Source organism: Homo sapiens, chromosome 1 (genome assembly GCF_000001405.40).
Source record: "Homo sapiens chromosome 1, GRCh38.p14 Primary Assembly".
Lineage (NCBI taxonomy): Eukaryota > Metazoa > Chordata > Mammalia > Primates > Hominidae > Homo > Homo sapiens.
This window is the reverse complement of record NC_000001.11, coordinates 164,903,620-164,923,449: the sequence shown is the minus strand read 5'-3', so window position 1 is coordinate 164,923,449 and position 19,830 is coordinate 164,903,620. Positions and strand designations below refer to the sequence as shown.

General features: G+C 42.0%; 1 long non-coding RNA gene and 1 pseudogene across 1 annotated transcript, besides 1 other annotated feature; both read left to right on the top strand.

Moving 5' to 3' along the window:
- RPL35AP7 (ribosomal protein L35a pseudogene 7) lies at window positions 1,758–2,174 on the top strand (annotated as a pseudogene).
- Window positions 8,924–9,218: a silencer, noted in NCBI's record as "tiled region #7579; HepG2 Repressive non-DNase unmatched - State 13:Ctcf". NCBI's record gives its function as "represses a minimal TATA promoter and a strong SV40 promoter by Sharpr-MPRA in HepG2 cells {active_cell/tissue: HepG2}" and the evidence as "EXISTENCE:reporter gene assay evidence [ECO:0000049][PMID:27701403]".
- LOC107985451 (uncharacterized) lies at window positions 11,075–14,294 on the top strand. The gene is made up of 3 exons (XR_001737807.2): window positions 11,075–11,174; window positions 13,340–13,487; window positions 13,625–14,294. It is a non-coding gene; the product is annotated as an uncharacterized LOC107985451 (long non-coding RNA).
- The last annotated feature ends 5,536 nt before the right edge of the window (window positions 14,295–19,830 follow it).

Below are 19,830 nucleotides of genomic sequence, written 5' to 3'. Positions count from 1 at the left end.
CATTGAGAGTTTTAAAATCTTTCCAGGTGATTGAAATGTGCAACAAAGTTTGAGAACCAAGGTATTAAAATATCAGATACAGAACAGGTATCTGTTAAATAGTGGCTTTTCCCCCTTTGCTTTTTCTTCCCTGATAATACAGAAGCAATGTGTTTTATTTTTTATATCTGACTTGAACAAGATGCATCATTTTGGTTAAGAATTGACGGCCTGAACAAGATAAAGCTCTTGCTGTCATGGGGCTGACATTCTCATGGAGCATCTTTTCATATAAATATTGCTTCTGTAGTCATCTCCCATGTTTAGACTGTCCAGGTTCCTGAAGATCTGCAGTCTTTGCTAATTTCTCAAATCAGGATGCACACTTGTCTTCAATCTCCCTGTTTTCTTCTCCTCTGCCCCCGCCAACCTCCAGTAAACACACCTCTGGCTAGCACCTATTTCCAGCTTCCAAGCCTCTCAGATCCAGGATAGCTGCTGTGAAAAGTAAGTGGATGCACCTCCCAGCTGGTCTGTCACTTGGTGGAGAGGCTGCACCTGCCTTCTGCCCCTTGGGGTTATTATCTTGCAGCTGGGTACTCTCAAGGGACACTCTGCATCCTTTACTCCTATATTTCAACATGAAATTACCCACTTGCCTAACTTCTCATTCTTTGGAGGCAACTTATCTCCAGGACTTGAAAACTAATCAACAACTAGGTATTTGTTTTAGTGCTGGGAATTGCAAAATGACCAGTGCCTTTTATCCCCTAGTTCTGATTGTCATTGACTTGCAACATCTCATGAATCAGTTTCTGGGGCAAATCTGCCCTGAGTGGCTTCTTCTCCCAACATCATATTGCTTTCTGGGAGGTCCTTTTGGCATTGTCTTAAATTGAATTCAAGTTATGAATGTGGAATTATAAAATCACAGTCACAAGGCACAAGGATGGTGCCAGAGAATATGAATGCTGACATCCCACTGGGGTTTGAGCTCCAAGACTGTCCCGTAGAAGGGTTTCCAATAGAAATGGAGAAGAGGAGATATAGCAAAACTACCTATAAACTTTAAAAAAATATATACACATCCTCCTCTCCGGTCCTACTATACCCTGGTTGGCTGAAGGGGGATGCTTAATGTGTTTATTTGGGAAGAAAATCTTCATCAACCACTGCACCAGCAACTTTGTTATTACCATGCCCTTAAGAATTACTGATTTAGTGGCCAGATACACTTGGCTCTAAATCAGCTCTTTCCAACCTCTGCTTGATCATTAGAGTCATTCCCACATCTTTTACAAAATACAGATTCCCAGGTCCCACCCCAAATTGCTAAATCAGAATTTTTTTAAAGTATAGTCTATCCTCCATATTCCTGGGCTTTACATGCACAGATTCAACTGACTTTGAATGAAAAAATTTTGAAAACAAGGAAAATCACAATAAAACAAAAAATAACAGAAAATTTAAAAAGTATAGTATAACAACTGTTTATAGCATTTACATAGTATTAGGTATTATAAGTCGTCTGGAGATGATTTAAAGTATATAGGAGAATGTGTATAGGTTATATGCAAATACTAAGCCAACTTATATGAGGACCTCGAACATCTGAGGATTTTGGTATCTGAGGGAGTCCTGGAACCAATTCCCCCAGGATACCGAGGGACAACTGTAGTATCAGAAGTCTGTAATTAGAAAAAAAGCCTCCAGGTGATTCTGGAATTAGCCAGGGCTGAGAAGCATTGACATGGTAAGTAAGAGCCTGGATGTTGTTTTTCTCTTCCCGCCATCTTGGCTCCTGTGGAGGCCTGCAGGGAACAGGACTTCTAAAAGGAAATATGTCTGGAAGGCTGTGGTCCAAGGCCATTTTTACTGGCTATGAGAGGGGTCTCCGGAACCAAAGGGAGCACACAGCTCTTCTTAAAGTCGAAGGTGGTTATGCCAGAGATTAAACAGAATTCTCTTTGAACTAGTGATGCACTTACGTATACAAAGCAAAGAGCAACATAGTGACTCCTGGCGGCAAACTAAACAAAACCAGAGTAATCTGGGGAAAGGTAACTCCGAGAACGTGCCAAATTCCAAAGCAATCTTCCTGCTAAGGCTATTGGACACAGAATCCGAGTCATGTTGTACCCCTCAAGGATTTAAACTAAGGGAAAGTCAATAAATAAACGTGGATTTGCACTCTTTAAAAAAAAAAGACAGAGAGCCTGGATGTTGCACCCAAATGTGGAATAAATCTTTATAGGTGTTGCAACACCTAACACCTTACATCTGAGGGGTGCTCATAAATCATAATCAAAAGTTGCCATTATTGAGCACCTGTTGTATGTATATAATGTACCGGGCGGTTTATACGCATTATTTCACTCAATTTTCACAATGATCAACTTCATGCATAAAGTTCAGAGAGATTAAGGCTCCCTGTGTCAGAATCCAGATTGTGACCCAGGCCAGATTCCACAGCTCATGCCTACTTCACACCACATTCTCCCCACCCCATGAGTGTTGAATGCATCATGAATCATCAGTCTTATAGCCCCTCCTAAAAACCAGACCCCCTAGTCTCAAATGAAGTCATTTAGTGCCTCACTCACACCTAAAATTAAGATCCACTTAAGCGTGTAAAGGCAGATGAAAACTGCACAATTCCAGGTAAATGTCTGCATGGGAGCTTTTAGGTGGCCAAAAATAGGTGACTTCCAAATTTAAAGTTAAGTATTCATCGTTCCGTGGGCATATACAGCACCTCAGAACAGGACTGGCTAGGAAGGGCTGGCATCCAGAGTTTGAGGACCCAGGAGGAAGTACACTGGTGATTTAAGGTACAAGATTTGAACTGCAAAGGGAAAGGCACTTGGAAGGATTCTAGTATGAAGCAAACTGCTTGCTGAGTTATCACTTTTTTCTCCTAGACAGCGTTTCATAAAGTATATATCTTTAATGCCCTTGAGTGGCATTTTACAATTAACCACAGGTTCCACATGTTGGTTTACACGTGAAAGTAGACATGTGATATTGACATCCCTAGAATGGACATATGCAATAAGGTAGGCAGATACTGAATTCAGAGAGGTCAATTAAGGGAGACTGGTAGATGCAGGCAAGGTCCAGAGTCCTGTAAGTTAAGGAAGCTGCTCCAGCCAGGAAATGACACTGGGCTTGGCTGGGTGTGATGGGTTCTGGGCTGACAGACCATGGATGGAGACAGAAAGCTGTCAAAGGTCATTGAAGGCCTGAAGGCAAATCGGGAGACCTCCCAGTCCCTGTAAATCATTAGTATCTCTAAGTACTATAATCAATCCACCCCCAAGAGAATTCTGTGAATTAGAGTCGGAGAATCTTCCAGTTTTCCAGATGGAGGCAGCTGGAGAAGATGTGAAACCGCAGCTTAACCTGTCTTTCCCCTGTGCACATGCATACACATATACACACATGTGTGCATACATACACACACTCACCAGACCCCTGCCGCTTCATATGCACATCACTCTGTCACTCAGCTCTTCTTTCAGGACATCCCCTTATCTTCTTGTTTTAAGCACCCTAAAGGACCCCAGTGTGAGTGAAGATTCAGGACGTCCTCAGCTGAGTCTGAGGCTGGATCAGGTGATGTTTGCCATGCCCGGTGGCTTCATGATGGTGTCCAGGAGCAATTGAGTCCAAGGGTAAAGAACACGTCTTGAGGAAGGCAGCTGTCTATTCAGAGATGCAGGGAGGCAGTGAATCCTTCCAACAAAGGGCATTCCTGCCTTTTAGTTCATTCTGGTGCTGTCATTGATCCAGAAACTGAGTCTTGATGCCTCATTTGTCCAGAAGTACATCTCCCCTTGATTGGGTAAATGGTGCCCAGTGATACAGTGGGATCTTCACAGAGAAGTTTTTTGCCTGTCATTGCTTTGCATGTTAAAAGGCTCTTAGTTCATCTTAATTAAAAGATAATGGGCACCGCACTTACTGTCTGTGAACACATCATACAGCTTCCTTGTGTTTAAGAGAGAGGGCTTCCACACTTGACAACAGGTTGGCAGGAATAGTGGGATGAAGAAAAAGAAGAGGTTAAGGGTGACGCCCAGATTTCTGAGTTAGGCAACATAGCTGAGGGTGTGTGGTGACCAAGGTAGTATTTTCATAAGTAGAAACTGATTTTTCAGGAGGACACGTAACCATCTACTGACCCGCTTCCTCTGCACGTGATTCCTCTGGATCTTTCAAGCTCCTGCCTTCCACTGCTTTCCTCTCATTCCAACTAGCCTCTTAGCAATCAGACCCTTTCTCCCACTCCTATTCTCCCTGCCTTGTGATAGCTCCCAATGTTAATCCTCTAATAAATACCTTACACTTAGGTGTATGACCCAGTGAGTTCTTCAAAACACTTTCACATACATCCTCTTGTTCTTCCCTGCAAAACAACCTTCCTCTTTAACCGAAAAGGCACCTTCATAGGTTTGCTTTTCCCCAAATAGTACAAAATGTGAAGACTGCTATTTTTTGGCGGTTTTACTTGTATGTTTCTTTCTGTTCATTTTCTCAGTCTATCTGACTTACTGTTGCTTTATTTTAGGCTCTGCATTACTCACTGGAAGAGGCTAGCACATACCATGCTCAAAGCAGCAAGCACTGAGAATGCTGGAAATTTGGGATCATGTTAGTCAGGAGTAAAGTTTACTGTACTAGATCCATGCACTTAGAGCTGTCTGACAATGGACCAAGCTGCTTTAGGAGGTGGTGAGACCCCCAACCAGTGGAGGTGTTCAAATAGCAACAGGATGGCTTTTCCATATATTGCAGAGGAAATGACGGATAGAGTAGGTTAGATTGAAACCCCCTATACTTCCTATTAACTTCTCTGATTTTCTCATTACATGAAAATATTGGCCAAAATTTTGCAGCAAGGATTGTGGTCTGAGGGTTGTGTTAAGAGAAGCCTTTTGAGTATGTAAATTTTGATAGGCCCTCCCCCTTAAAAGTAGCCTTGGGTGAAATTTTTTGGTGTTCATTCAGTTTTTCCTTCCTTTAACACTGCATAATGCCAGCCAGGTCTTAAAGCAAATGCCTGTTTGTAACTTCTGAAGGCAAAGCCCTTCTCATAGAGCCAGATCCCTCAGCCAGAAGCTAGTGAGTCAGTAAAGGCCAGGCAGGAGAATCGACGGCCCCCTCATGCTCCTGGACTGATTAGTTCTCTCTGCCTTTTCCTTTCTTTTTAAATCTCCTGGCACTTGAAAAAATCCAGTCCTCAGCCTGCTCCTGGGCCCTTTCCCCAAGCATCATTTAGTCTCAGAGAATGAAAACCATTTTCATGTTAGCCTAAGGAAGCATTTCCCAAAGTGTGATTAGGGGAACACTTGCCTTAATAGGAACTTCTGGTAAACAGGTCCTTCTGCTCAAATATTACTGCACATGTTCTTTCCCTTTGGAAAATTTCAGTGTGTATTTGCGCGTTAAAGCTTTGAGAAATCCTGCACAAAGAAACCTATTGCAGTTTGTTAACCCAGAATTTGCCAAATTTGTTTGATCCTAGAAATATTTTTCTAGAACAATTATTTTGGAAGTGGAGGAGTGGGAGGGGAATGGGACTATGGCATATCAGTTGGTACCTGGAATATCTGCAAAGTGTGGCCTGAACAAGGCAAAAAGATCAGTATATCATTCACAATTAAGGGAAATGGCTTTAGTTTCTGGATTATGTATTGTTTGGAGCAACTATTCCATGGTGCCCACCTCCACCTCATTGACATAAATGAGGGAGAGTTAGCAATATTATCAGTCTTTCAGCAACAGCAAGTCCTAGGTGCCTCCCTCTGGAATTAGTCTTTGATGAGTGTTATTGACTTAGCTCCAAGTTGCTGGCTATTCAGGGCAGGATAACCTTCATCTTCACATGTGTGCCCAGGTCGTGCCTGCAGCTTCCTCTAGGAGCAAGGGTATTTCATCTTCCAACTCCAGGGCATTTGTCCTGCAGCACCTGGAGTAGAACGATAACTCCTGCCATGGGATGCTCCTGGCAATTCACTTGGCAGAAGTGAGGGGCTCAGAGGCTCTCTTCACAAATCTCTAAATCAACTGGCCATGCAGTTGTGGGAGCAGTAGCAGCTGTTTCAGAGGCAAAGGCCATTCATCTTCTGCCTTTTATTCTCTTGTTTCTGGGGAACCTGGAAGAGTGAAGTTGTCTGCCACCAAGCATTGCCTACCTGAGTGTTCACTAAGGTTCACGCAGGACTATGGAATATGCTGGGTGCCTTCAGAAAGCTTCCACGTGGAGGGCAGGGTTCTTTTATGAAAAGGCCTTAGAAGCACAAAGGTTCTGTTTTAAAAGAGCTCCTGAAACCCAAAGTTCCTGCTCTACAGTTCTGTTGTCACTAGACAATACAAATCAGAAATTTATTGGGCCCAGTCCTGTTCTAAGAACTGAGGGAGATTCAGAAAAAAAGGATAAGATGGTGAATCTGAGCTTCTGGTTGAGTAGTGGTAGTAGTACCTAGGGGAGGTCTCAGGGAAGGGCTTTAGTTATCCCCCACTAATCTCTGCCCTCCTCTTGAACTACTAAATAAGCCTGAGATTTATTTTTTTAAAGGAAGATTTGCCTGGTTAACATGGTTCAACAACTCCATATGGATGTTTAAAAGAAATCACGCACGTAACATCTCCAAAGCTAAACTCTTTTCCGGCCTGCACATCCCCAGTCTTCATCTCAGTTGACAAGTGATGCTATCCTTCTTTAGAGAAGCCTTTGAGTCATTCCTGAGTGGAGTCAGGCTACTCTCTGTTAGTAAGTCCTGTTGAATCTACCTCCAAAAAAAGCCAAGATTTACCCCCCAAAAGAGCCAAAATCTAACCACTCTCATAACCTTCACTTCTTGCACCCTTGCCTAAGTCATCTTCCTCTCTCACCCAGTTTTACAACAACAGTCTCCTGACAGGTCTTCCTGTTTCTGCCTTTGCCCGCAATTATAGTCTATCCTCAACCCAGTGTAAGAACGACTCTTAAAATGAGGAGTCGGAAAATGGGATTTCTCTGTCCAAAACACTTTCAGGGTCATGCTTTCTTGTGCAAGGAATAAGCCACAGTACTTTGGTTACCTCCACAGTCCTCCATGGACTGCCCTTCCTACTACCTCTGATTTCATTCCCTACCACATTTCTTTTTCCTTCTGCTCCAGTCATATTATCCCAAAATCTCCAGCACAGTCTTTCTCAGTACCTTGTGCTTGTTGTCCCTTCTACCTGGAAGCCTATTTGCTCAAGATATCCACATGGCTCAACCCCTCACGTTTGTTAGGTCTTTGCTTAAGGCTCTCTCTCTCTCTACCTTATATAAAACCTTCACTATCTCCCTTTTGCTGCTTTATTTTTCTAGCATTTATCACCATCTGCCACAGTTTATAGTTTACATTTATGTCTCCCCCACTCCCCACTAGTATCTAAGCTCCTTGAGGGCATTTTTTTTTAATCTGTTTGATTCAGTTTCATGGAACAGGGCCCAGCATATATAAGGCACTCAACAAATATTCACTGAATAAAGGAACCAAAGAACAGTAACATTGTATATATCAATATGCCACATGAGGCAGGTGCTATATATATGATTTCATTTCATCTTCACAACCTCCCAAAAAGCTAGGTATTATAGTTACATGTCCCACCACAATTAACCACGAGAAAGTCCAGGCACAGAGAGGCTAAATGACTTGCATTCAATCAGCAATGATCACAATCACATTTCAGACTCACATCTGTCTACCTCCTAAATTCATGTTCCCAACCACTCTACTCAATTCCTTCCTCTTACAGTCCCCCAGACAACCAGAGCTACTGGGATCTCCAAGGAAAGAGAAATGGATTGTCACGGTGGGGGATCTGCAAAAGCTTCCCCCCGGAGATAGAATTTGATGTGGACCTTAGCAGATGAATAAATTCTAACAGGTAGAGAAAATACCAGGTGGCATTCTAAGCTGGGGAGAAGCATGAGAGGTATGGAAGCAGAGCAATTCAAATGTGTTCATCCAGGGGTGGCTTAGATAGGCAACCTCCTCATCCCAGTTTGCCTTGGACTTCCTGGTTCTAGCATCAACAATCCCGTGTTCTGGGAAAACTGGGACAGAGGGTCTCCTAAGTGACAAATGGATCAGGTTTAATAGGGTAAAGCATTCATTGTGCACATTGTTGAGGAAATATTGAAAGTAAAAGTGGCAAAGAGTTTTGAGGCTGAGGAAATGAGTTTGGAGCTCATTGTGCAGGTAAGGGGAAACCTTTGGAGGTTTCGAGAAGGGAATGATATGTGGAAACACAGGGTTACATGAAGCCGGAAAAGTCAATACTAACCTGATTGTGGTGAAGTACTGCCTTTTATGGGGTCGACCATGGTTGCCAGAGGAGCTGACAGTAGAGGGAGACCAATCAAGTCTGGACTCGGCTATCCCAGGTGTTTCAAGGAGCTGCTGCCTCTTGAAATTGGCATTTTCCCCTCTCCTTATAGTTCTCCAATCCTTTTTACATCTGTTACCAACATCATCTCCTGAGCGTGGATAGAGGTATGTCATCTTCCATGCCTTTGCATCCAGAAGTATTTATAAACCTTGGAGACCCAGGGAAAGCCCCTGTCTTGGGCTTCATTTCACATTTTCTCATCACCTCAAGCTTCTCTTTGCTCAGGCCTGGACCTATGAGCTACTTCCTTCTACAGTGGCAGGCCTTGTGGCCAAGGTCCTCTCATATCCTATTCAGTGGGTTGCTTTCATATGAGCGCTTTTCATCCTCTCTTTTGGGAGTTTTACACTTACTGATTCAATGGAAAGCCCTTAATTAAAGAAAAGGATGAGCACAGTGTCCATCCATATTTAAATAGATGAGAAATAAGCACTGGGCAGCCTGCAAGTGGCCTTCATGCTTGGAGAGATCTATGCTCATGTTTATAAACTGCACAGAAGGCAGTGGTGCCAGATAAAAAGACAATCAAAATAAATGCATCTGATAGTTTGTTTCTCCGTGTGGCATACATAATGTCAAATACAACAGTCCTACCATCAGAGGTCCTCAGCACTTCATGAACTACATAGCAAGGGAAGTAAGGCCTCAAATAAACTGTTGTGCAACTGTGATAAGCAAACTCAGGTCTTGGTAGAGCAGAAAACTGTCCTCTGTTCTCACAGATATCTTACACACACACACACAGACACACACACACACCCCTGTTTCTTTTTTAAATCTTCAGAACATACAAATAAATTTTGTCTTAAAAATTGGCTGGGCATGGTGGCTCATGCCTGTAATGCCAACATTTTGGGAGGCTGAGGTGGGCAGATCACTTGAGGTCAGGAGTTCGAGACCAGCCTGGCCAACATGGTGAAACCTCGTCTTTACTAAAAATATTTAAAAAAAAAAATTAGCTGGGCATGGTGGCTCACACTTCTAATCCCAGCTACTCCTCCAAAGGCTGAGGCAAGAGAATTGCTCGAACTCGGGAGGTGGAGGCTGCAGTGAGTGGAGATCACACCGCTGAACTCCAGCCTGGGTGACAGAGTGAGACTCTGTCTCAAAAAATAAATAAACAAAAAATAAATAAATATGAATAAATACAAGGTCCACAGAAATAACTGACCTCAGTGCCTAGGAAATCATTTGCCTCCAGTTTCCTTCAGAAGTAAAGTCAGGTTTCACTCAAAGGTCAAGAAGCCAGAGCTCAGTTCTTCCTAGCTGTACCTCAAGCTTAATTTGCTAGGTGAATAGGAGGTGATGTCCAGCAATTGCAATGAAAGCAAGCTCTTCAAATGGAGCAACTGTAGTCTGCACAATGAGATGTCTTGGAATCAGCCAGACTCGCCCTCCATCCCACCATGCTTTCTGAGGTGATGAGGATGGAAACAGAAAAAGAGGCTCTGGCATTATAGAACCCTGATGGGCGGTGGCAAAGGGTGGAACCCAGAACTGGCTGAGCTTCTTCTTCTTTCCTCCATTTTCCCCACTCATTTCAATGTTGCTGATTTGCATTCAGAAGGAGCTGAATTCAGTCTGGATACATCAGTTACTAGCTGCGTGAACTGAGTAACTTACTTAACTTCTAAACTTAAGTTTATTCATGTATAAAACAGGGAAAGTTTCTTGGTAATCTGAAAATTGCTACAGTGTTGTAAGAACTTAGCATAGTACCTAGTATATAGTAAGAGGTAGGAAGTAGTAACTGGAGTTACTATGCCTTCGGCTAGTCTATTTTCTTGCTTCCTCTATTCTTACTTCTCCTGCTCACCCATCTCACACCCTAACTTCAACTCCCAACCCAGGGACAGTAAACTGATACTTGCTTTCACCTGCCATTGATTGATTTGTGAGATGGGCTGCCTCACAAAACCACTCTTAGGAATTTAACGGGATTTGAAATTTAAAACCATCTCTTATTCATGTGTGGCTCAGACATTGCTTTGAACCTGGTTAGTTCAAGATTTTTTTTTTAAGATGGATATATGTTTAAAAAGCTCACAAGTCCTCTTGGGCACCAAATGGCTCTTTGGAAAGAATCCTGTGACAAGTTTATTGTAAATGAACCAGAAACATAGAGATTAAATTCCTCCTGAAATACTTCTGGGTGTGGAAATTAAGAAAAAAGCAATTGCAAGATGTCTCCAGTTTTGCAGACCTGCATGCAGCTGGCTTCCCTTAAGGCTGCCTGCTGAGCTGTGGGAAGAGCTCGGCTGGCTTGGCCAGGCCTCCGGGGTACCCCTGCAGCCGTGGGGTTACTTATTCCTGAGATGGGGCAGCGGAGGCAATTTGATGGAGGCAACTTTCATTCTAACTGCTCTTCCGGCAAAGCTCCTCTCTGGGGATCTCAGACTGGCACCTTTCACCATTGTTAAATTCACTTAAGATAAAAGCGACACCAGGCAAATGACAAGGGAAGAGCCATTAAGGGATGAGCGTAAGCAGTGACTGACAGGCAGGCTCTGCGAAGCGCTCAGCTGCCAGCCCCAGCCTTGGCAGGAATCATCACCCCGAGTGCCTCCCATAGCCAGCGCTTGACAAATGGGCAAGATTCAGTCCAAGCCTATGGGCTCAGCCCTTTGTTTCCCAGAGCCTCAGCCTCCATGCCTATTCACCCACACACTACCAGCCCCTCCACCCAGGAACAGCATCAGCAACCACGCAGAGAGGAGCCCATTGCTGCTGAAGGTGAGAGGCTGTCCTCTGCCTGCTTTCAGGTGAGTGCCTGCGGGTGGTGAGCCATGGAGCATGGACGACTACGAATTCATTCACTGCATAGTTAGGAGAGACGATATGAAGATTGAACTCAGCAAACCATAGAAAATACACACCCTGCCAAGTCTGTCTTTTATACTGTTGTTTTTCAGTCCAAGTGTAAAATTATGTTGGCCATCTTGGTCTTTTCTTGGGATTGTGCACAAGGACACCCAATGGGACTCCTTGCTGGGATATACTCACCATGCAAGCGGGCTCATACAGGTGTCCTGCAACACTGGCTCTTAGTAAATTACTTGCTAAATAATGTTTTTTTTATTATTAAGGTTACTTCTTTTATTGGAAAAAAATTAGAAAAATACAAAAATAAAAACCTACAAAGAACAATGGCAATCACATAGAAGGTCCATAATTGTTAATATATTATTGCATTTCTTAAGTGCAAAGTCTCCATAGCCAGATTGCATGGGGTCATATTCTTGCTCTGCCACCTATCAGCTGTGTAAGCTTGGGTGAGTTACTTAACTTCTCTGTGCTTTCATTTCCGCATCTTTAAAATGAAGATAAGTATAGAACCCACCTCATGAAGTTATTGTAAGCATTAAATGAGTTAAAACCATAAAGCTCAGAACACTACAAAGACTCATTAAATGTTAGCCGTTATCATGCACCAATTTTCACTAACCTGTCATTGTAGTTGTGATTCCATTATATCAGTGCTTCTCTGCCTAGGGAGATTTTGACCCCAGGGAACATTTGACAATATCTGGAGACATTTTTCGGTTGTCACAACTAAATGAGTTGGGACTACTGTCATCTAGTGGGTAGAAGCCAGGAATGCTACTAATCTTCCTACAATGCACGGGATAGCCCTCAATGATAAAGAATTGGCCACTCAAAAATGTCAACAAGTGCCAAGGTTGAAAAACCTACATTAGATTACTATACACATTGTGACAGATCCCAGTCCCCACTTGCTCCCTGTGGATTTCAGCTGTCCCTCGGGGCATGTCTTGCAGGATCCTGGAGTCTCACATATGCTTGGGAACACAACTCTTTCCTGCTCCAGCCTGCTTGCCATCCATGCTGCTGCTATTCTCCATGAGATGGCTCTTTTGGTGGGCACAGGTACCCTGTGCTGGTGCCAGCCAGAAATGAGTGGGAGGGTGGAGAGAGGCTGACCAGTGACCCTCTCTTAAATCTAAGGCCCTTCTTGTTCCTTAGATTCTGAAGTGGCATAGTTAGAGGCTAGCAGACTTTTACCAACATAGTTCTTCAGCTTTTCTCCCTAACTTCTCTCTCACTTGAGACTCAAAACCTGACTCTGGCTGGGTTTTGAAACAGAGTCCATGCCATTGAAATCATTCCCACCGCCTTTTCCCTCCATCACTTTGGCTATCTTCATCCCCAATATGTCTTTCTCTTTCTTGAGCCAAAAAACATAAAGATCTCATGAATATCAGTCTTAACAACTCATACAAATAGATTCTTAGGGGCAGCAAGCCAAAAATATCCATATCTCAGCAATATTCTTTCTTGTACACACAAACTTAAAGATACATAACTTTTTAAAACAAAAGCGTGATTTTACTACACACTCTGACACCTTACTCTTTCACTAAAGAAAATGGCATTAACACATTCGGATGTCACTAAATTGTCTTCTATATCACCATTTTATTGACTGTATAGAATTCCATTTTGTCACTATATAATATCTTTGGGTCCATTCCCCTTTTATTAGACAGGGAGGTTATTCCTTAATGTTGAAAATTATAAGAAATGCCACATTGAATATCACTGTAAAGCAGCTTTTCATACTTGTTTAGTATTTTTCTAGGATAAATTTCTAGAATATAATTTAAGGTTTTTTGATACATACTATAGAAAAAAAATTGTGACAGTTAGTTTTATGTATCAACTTGACTGGATCACAGGATGCCCAGATAGCTATTTAAACATGACTTCTGGGTATGTGTGTGAGGATGCTTCCAGAAGAGATTAGAATTTGAATTGGTGGACTGAGTAAAACAGTTGTCTCTCCCCCGTGTGGAAAAGCATCATTCAATCTGTTGAGAGTCTGAACAGAACAAAGGGATGAAGGAAGGATGAACTTGCTGTCTGCCTGATTGCTTGAGCTGGGACATCCATCTTCTCCTGCCTTTAGGACTCCTGGTTCTCAGGCTGCTAGACCTGAACTGGAATCTACAGCCACTGGCTCTCTGGCTTTCAGGTCTTCAAACTACATCACCAGCTTTCCTGGGCCTGAACCTTGCCAATGACAGATTGTGGGACTTCTCAGCCTCCATAAACATGTGAGCCCGTATTTTATCACCAATATTTTTATCTATATCTATATATTTATATATCTATCTGTATCTATATCTCCTATTGGGTTTCTTTTTCTGGAGAACTCTGACTAATACAAAAGGATTTACGAACTTTGTTTTAGCCAACAGCAACTGCCCATTGGAAGCACATTGGAATGGCAATCCAACATCCAAAATGGCTGGGAAAGTGAAGTACTTCAGTTATTGGAATATACTAGTTAGCTGACAATTTCCATCTGCCAATATCACAAGTGAGAGGACTATTTCTAAACACTTAACACTAAATTATACAGAACAAAATTCCGTCTTCTTTGGACTATTCAAATGTCATTTTGAAATGGCTGCTGCATGGCCAGCAGACTGAGGTGAGAGAAATTTGTAGCTGTAGAGAATCCTCATTAATGCAGTGAGGCCTTCCCTTTCTAGGCAATTCCTGGATCTAAGAGAGATTAACTGAGACTGACACCTTTAAAGGTCTGAAAAGATATTTACTGTCTACTCTCTCGGAGCACTGCTCTCTATGAGGCTTCATCCATATAACAAAGCTACCTTTGCTAGATCGGCGTCTTCCTTTCTCCCTCTCATAATCTGTCTTGCCACTAAACCTGATTTACCAACATAACCAGTTTTGGGCTACACTCTGAGCTCACATTTTTTTCTATAACCTCAGGATGGAATATAAGATTCTGTGCCTTATTGTTGGCTTGGGTCTTTATTCTGAAGGTTCCTTTGTGTGCATGTTAAATAAGTTTGTATGCCTTTTCTCCTATTAAAGCAAAAACAAAAACAAAAGTCATTTGCAGTGATTCAGGGTAATCATTATAACCTAATTTCTCAATGCAGAGTTTCAGGTGATGTTTTGAAAAGTTCTGCCTGGGCAACATGGCGAGACCCCACATCTACAAAAAATTTAAAACTCAGCTGGGCATGGTGGCATGCACCTGTAGTCCCAGCTACTTGAGAGGCTGAGGTGGAAGGATTGCTTGAACCCAGGAGTTCAAGACTGTAGTGAACTGTGATAATGCCACTGCACTCCAGCCTAGATGACAGAGTGAGACCCTATCTCAGAAAAAAAAAAAAGAAAGGAAAAGAAGAGCTCTAAGTGGCAAAGAATTATGGAAATGTAGAGGTTTATTATTTCAGTTTTCAAATAGGGAGAAACTGTATTGACCAGATTCATCAAGAAATGACATATCTTAAAAGCTTCTTTTTTGGGTAAGTTTCTAATAGCAACTTGTTTACATGTCATTTACCTCTTCCTCATAAAAGCAAAATAAAGAATATGTAAAAATTCCTGTTTCAGCTTTTGATGGTGTTCCAGATGAATGTGTTTAACTATAATTTTAATATCTCAAAACACTGTCAGTCATAAATTTTTTTCAGTATGTGTCAATAATAAAAATAAGGATGATAATAACAGGGAAGCATCACAATGAAGGAAAAAAGTACTTTCTTCTACCCTGTGGATGCATGAAGTGAGGAATCTATAGGCAGACCCAGCACTGCTCATAACTAGCCCTATAGCCATGGCCTTGGGCAAGTCAATTATTCTTTTTGGAACATGATTTTTTCATAGATAATGAAAAGGTAGGAGGGTGGTGGGAAAAGGGAAAGGAGCAGAAAAGATAACTATTGGGTACTGAGCTTAATACCTGGGTGATGAAATAATATGTACAACAAACCCCCATGACACGTGTTTACCTATGTAACAAATTTTCACATGTACCCCTAAACGTAAAATAAAAGTTTAAGAAAAGACAAGAGAAGATGGTGATTTCTGAGATCCTTTAAGCTGTAAAATGTCTATGATTTTATGCCTTCACTCACATCTTTAGGGGGTTTTGAAATTCTGTTCTCTCATCTTCTTGAATAAATTTCAAGCTAACGAAAATGATTTTTCTTAAGTAACAAAATATTGAGTGAGATTTTTTCCCAATGTCCCAGAATGTTGGTTAAAGCCCCAAGCTGAGAACAATGGGTAAGAAGTATATCTGTCAGAGGCATTTGAACCAAAGTGACTCCGTCTTAAATAGGGTAAAATGAGACTGAGATCTACTGGGCTGCTTTCCCAGGAAGTTAGGCATTCTGAGTCACAGGATGAGATAAGAGATCAGCACAAGATACAGGTGATAAGACCTGGGTGATAAAACAGGTTGTGATAAAGAAGCTAGCCAAAACCCACCAAAACCAAGATGGGGACAAAAGTGACCTCTGTTCATCCTCACTGCTCATTATATGCTAATTATAATGCATTAGCATGCTAAAAGACACTCCCAACAGTGCCACGACAGTTTACAAATGCCATGGCAAGGTCTGTAAGTTACCCTATATGGTCAAAAAGAGGAGGAACCCTCAGTTCTGGGAATTGCCCACCCCTTTCCCAGAAAACTCATGAATAATCCACCCCTTGTTTATCATATAATCAAGAAATAACCATAAAAATAGCCAACCATCAGCCCTCTGGGCTGGCTCTGCCTATGGAGTAGCCATTATTTTATGGCTTTACTTTCTTAATAAACTTGCTCTCACTTTATGGATTCACCTCTAATTCTTTCTTGCACGAAATCCAAGAACCCTCTCTTGGGGTCTGGATCTGGACTCCTTTCCGGTAACATCTCCTCATTGTGAAGAGAGAAATTAAAAGATTCTGCTGAACATACTCAAAGAAAGCAGAACCTGTTCAGCAACCATCAACCCACATCAATGCCCAGCAGTGAATATAAAACAAGTCCAGAGATTGAATGCGTGACTGAAGAGTTACACTGAAAGGTTTTAGACTAGTAGTGGTATCTCTTCTTCATTTACCTTTTTAGGGTTGTCCTTCCCCAAATCAAGTGATGAGGATTCATGAGAAATACACATACAAGTTGAGGGTGCCTGTGAAAAGTGAGAGAAAGGCCTCTCACTTCCCCACTGGATGCTTACAGGGTGTGGAGTTGAAGGAGGGAGAAGGGCTGAAAGGGTCTTGGAAGGATTCTTAGAGATTGTATGTGAAACTCATGACTGTTGCCTCTTCTCTCCTAGAACTGGGCCTGAAGACCAGCTGTGGCCATGCACAATGGTAGAGTGAGGAGAGATGGTGGCAGTAGACAGCCATCTCTGCTACCAGGTTTTGGTCTGGCAGGGATGATTGAGTTTCCTGTGGCCAAGTGGGTCCTGTGGGAAGTTTCTGGGCTTGAGTCACCATACAAGAAGGAAGCCTGTTGGGGCAAAATACTTCAGGAGTAACAGCTGTGGGGTGAACAACACAGACAGCCAGGGGTAGCCAAGAGAGGATTACTTGGCACCAGTGACATGCAAATCTTCCCTTCTTCATCTTTAAACCCCTTCCCCCGACTTGGACCCCAGGATATCCAGAAGACAAAGTGGAGAGGTGGCCAAGAATGAGAAGCCACATTTGCCCCCTCCCTCACTGTAGATGCTTGAGCCACAAGAGAGGCATGGGGTAAAGAGGGAAAAGAAGTTGCAGATTGCATCTGAGATCTAAGTTTTTGTTGCCGTGGTGGTGGTGGTGGTTGTTCTTGGAGACAGGCTTTTGCTCTGTTACCCAGGCTGGAGTGCAGAGGCTCGATCATAGGTCGCTGCAACCTTGAAGTCCTGGGCTCAAGTGATCCTCTTGCCTCAGCCACCCAAGTGGCTGGAACTACAGGAATGGACCACCACATCTAGCTAATTCTTTTTTTTCTTTTTTGTAGAGACAAGGTCTCGCTTTGTTGCCCAGGCTGGTCTCAAACTCCTGGCCTCAAGCAACCTGGTCTCGGTCTCCCAAAGTGCTGAGATTACAGGCGTGTGTCGCCTCTCCCAGCCTTGAGATCAAAGTCACGTTAGACTAGATTTGACCTTTTAATACCTGAAATGGTGTAACAATTAAATACATGACCGTATTTATGACCACAAGTGAACAAACACTTGAGGAACTGCCTGAGAGTCCATGAAGATATGGGAAAACGGAATATAGCTGGGCAAGTTTCCTAAGTGGCAGACTCCACCCACGTCGACATGAAAATAACTTCAACATGTCTAGAATTCATTATGTGTTTAAAATAGTTGGGTTTTTTTCCATGTGATTTTATAGCTGAAAAAAACGGGGGCATGAACTATGATCTTTTAACCAAATATCTGCTTTGCCTATCACATATCCTAATAGCGCGAGATTATTTTTCTTTCCTAACACATTTTTTTGTGCATGTGTTTTCTTTTCTATGGTCTTCTTCATTTTCACAACCATAATATTATTCTAAAATACTAACTCCATAGCAACAATAAAAATCAGTAAATGTCCTTTCTTTAATAGATATATAGAGGAAGGTTTATGACAAAGTAGTAAGAAAAATCTGTCCTTAAAAAAGTAATGTTATTTTAACCATAGAATTGTTACTTTCAGTGAATTCCTTCTTCAGATATACAAGGAATTTACTGAACAAAAAATGAATATTCTTTACTTATTTATATTTGTGTAAGATGTGTAAAAAAAAATCTATACTTTTCAGAGAAATTATTTCATAAAATTGGGTTTGTGGAAAGCTGTGGCTTTTGAAGATAGACTTGGGTTAAATTCCTGGCTCTTCTGCTTATTATCTATCTCTGTGACCTCAGGCAAATCACTTAGTCTCCCTGAACTTCAGTTTCCTCATCTGTAAAATGGAACTATTAGTATTTATTTCAACAAATTGTGAGTCTGTGAGGATTAAATGAAATCACATATGTCACAGATTGACTCAAAGTACAGTCAATAAATTTAAGCTTCCTGTCTTCCTCCCTTTGCTATTTGGTCCTAGACACAAATTTGCCTAATCTTTATTTATTATCATTATATATATATGTGTTTGTGTGTGTATGTGTGTGTGTATAGTTTATTATACCTATTTTACTTAACTTGGTGTTTTTTGTTTTTGCTTTTGTTTGTTTTTTACAGACAGGGTCTCACTGCTGTCCAGGCTGGAGTGCAGTGGCACCATGATAGCTCACTACAACCTCAAAGTGATCCTCCCACCTCAGCCTCCCAAGTAGCTGGGACTATAGGTAGAGGCTACCATGCCTGGCTAATTTTTAAATTTTTATAGAGACAGAGTCTCATTATGTTGCCCAGGCTGCCCTTCAACTCCTGGTCTTGAGTGGTCCTCCTGCTTTGGCCTCCCAAAGTGCTGGGATTATAGGCGTGAGCCATCATGCCCAGCCTTAACTGGTTTTTAATAATTATAAACATAATCTATACTTGTTACAAAGTCAGGAAGTATAATAAAATGTTTAATTTTCTCACCTTCTCTGACTCTAACCTCCTAAAATATTAACAGTTTTGGTAGGGGGACACTCTTTCATACTATTTTTTTTGCTCCTACAAGCATGTTTTACACATTACTCTGAAGACTTCTTTTTCTTCCACTGAGGCAACTTTCCATGTCAGAATGGGTGTAGTCAATGACTCAAGGGGAGTTTAACAAAGTATTGTCAATTTAGATTCCAAGATAGGGCTCTGTTCCTCTAATTAATTACTTCCCTCTGGGTTTTAACCTTCATGAGAGGCATATGAGCTACTTGTTGGATTGGAAACTGTTCCTGATGTCACCTTACAAGCTGTTTCTGTTTAGAACAAATCCTGTCTCTGGATCATTAGAAAGTCACATGTCACATGTCACAAACTGTCAGCCTTTCTCTCCCATCACTCCTTATTACTTAAAGGTGTTGGCTGAGATCCCAACATCTTTATCTCTCAGGGGTTGGAAGCCTGGGCAGCTTCTGTTTTTCTCTCTCTCTCCTTTCTTTCTCATATCTATCCACCATCGTCATTGTCTTTAAGGAAGGTGTTGCTCGTGAATCTCAGAATTACCTGCCTTAGGAAAACCATTTAGAGACCTTAATTCCAGTACTGATGACATCAATACCACCGGAATCAATGGAAAAATAAAAACAAAAACAGCTCTATCTGTATCTGACTCTGAGCAGAGTGTGGCCTTAGCCATGGAAGTTGAGGTGTTGAGTTCAAAGGATCATCAAAGAGCATTGTCCTAGGCCCGGTGCAGTGGCTTATGCCTGTAATCCTAGAACTTTGGAAGGCCTAGGTGGGCAGATCACTTGAGGCCAGGAGTTCCAGACCAGTCTGGCCAACATGGTAAGACCCCATCTCTACTAAAAATAGCAATTCTATTGCTGGATAATCAGTTTCAAAGGTGTATTAGTCCTTTCTCACACCGCTAATAAAGACATCCCCGAGACTGAGTAATTTATAAAGAAACAGAAGTTTAATGGACTTACAGTTCCACATGGCTGAGGAGACCTCACAATCATAGTAGAAAGTGAAGGAGTAGCAAAGGCACATCTTATGTGGTGG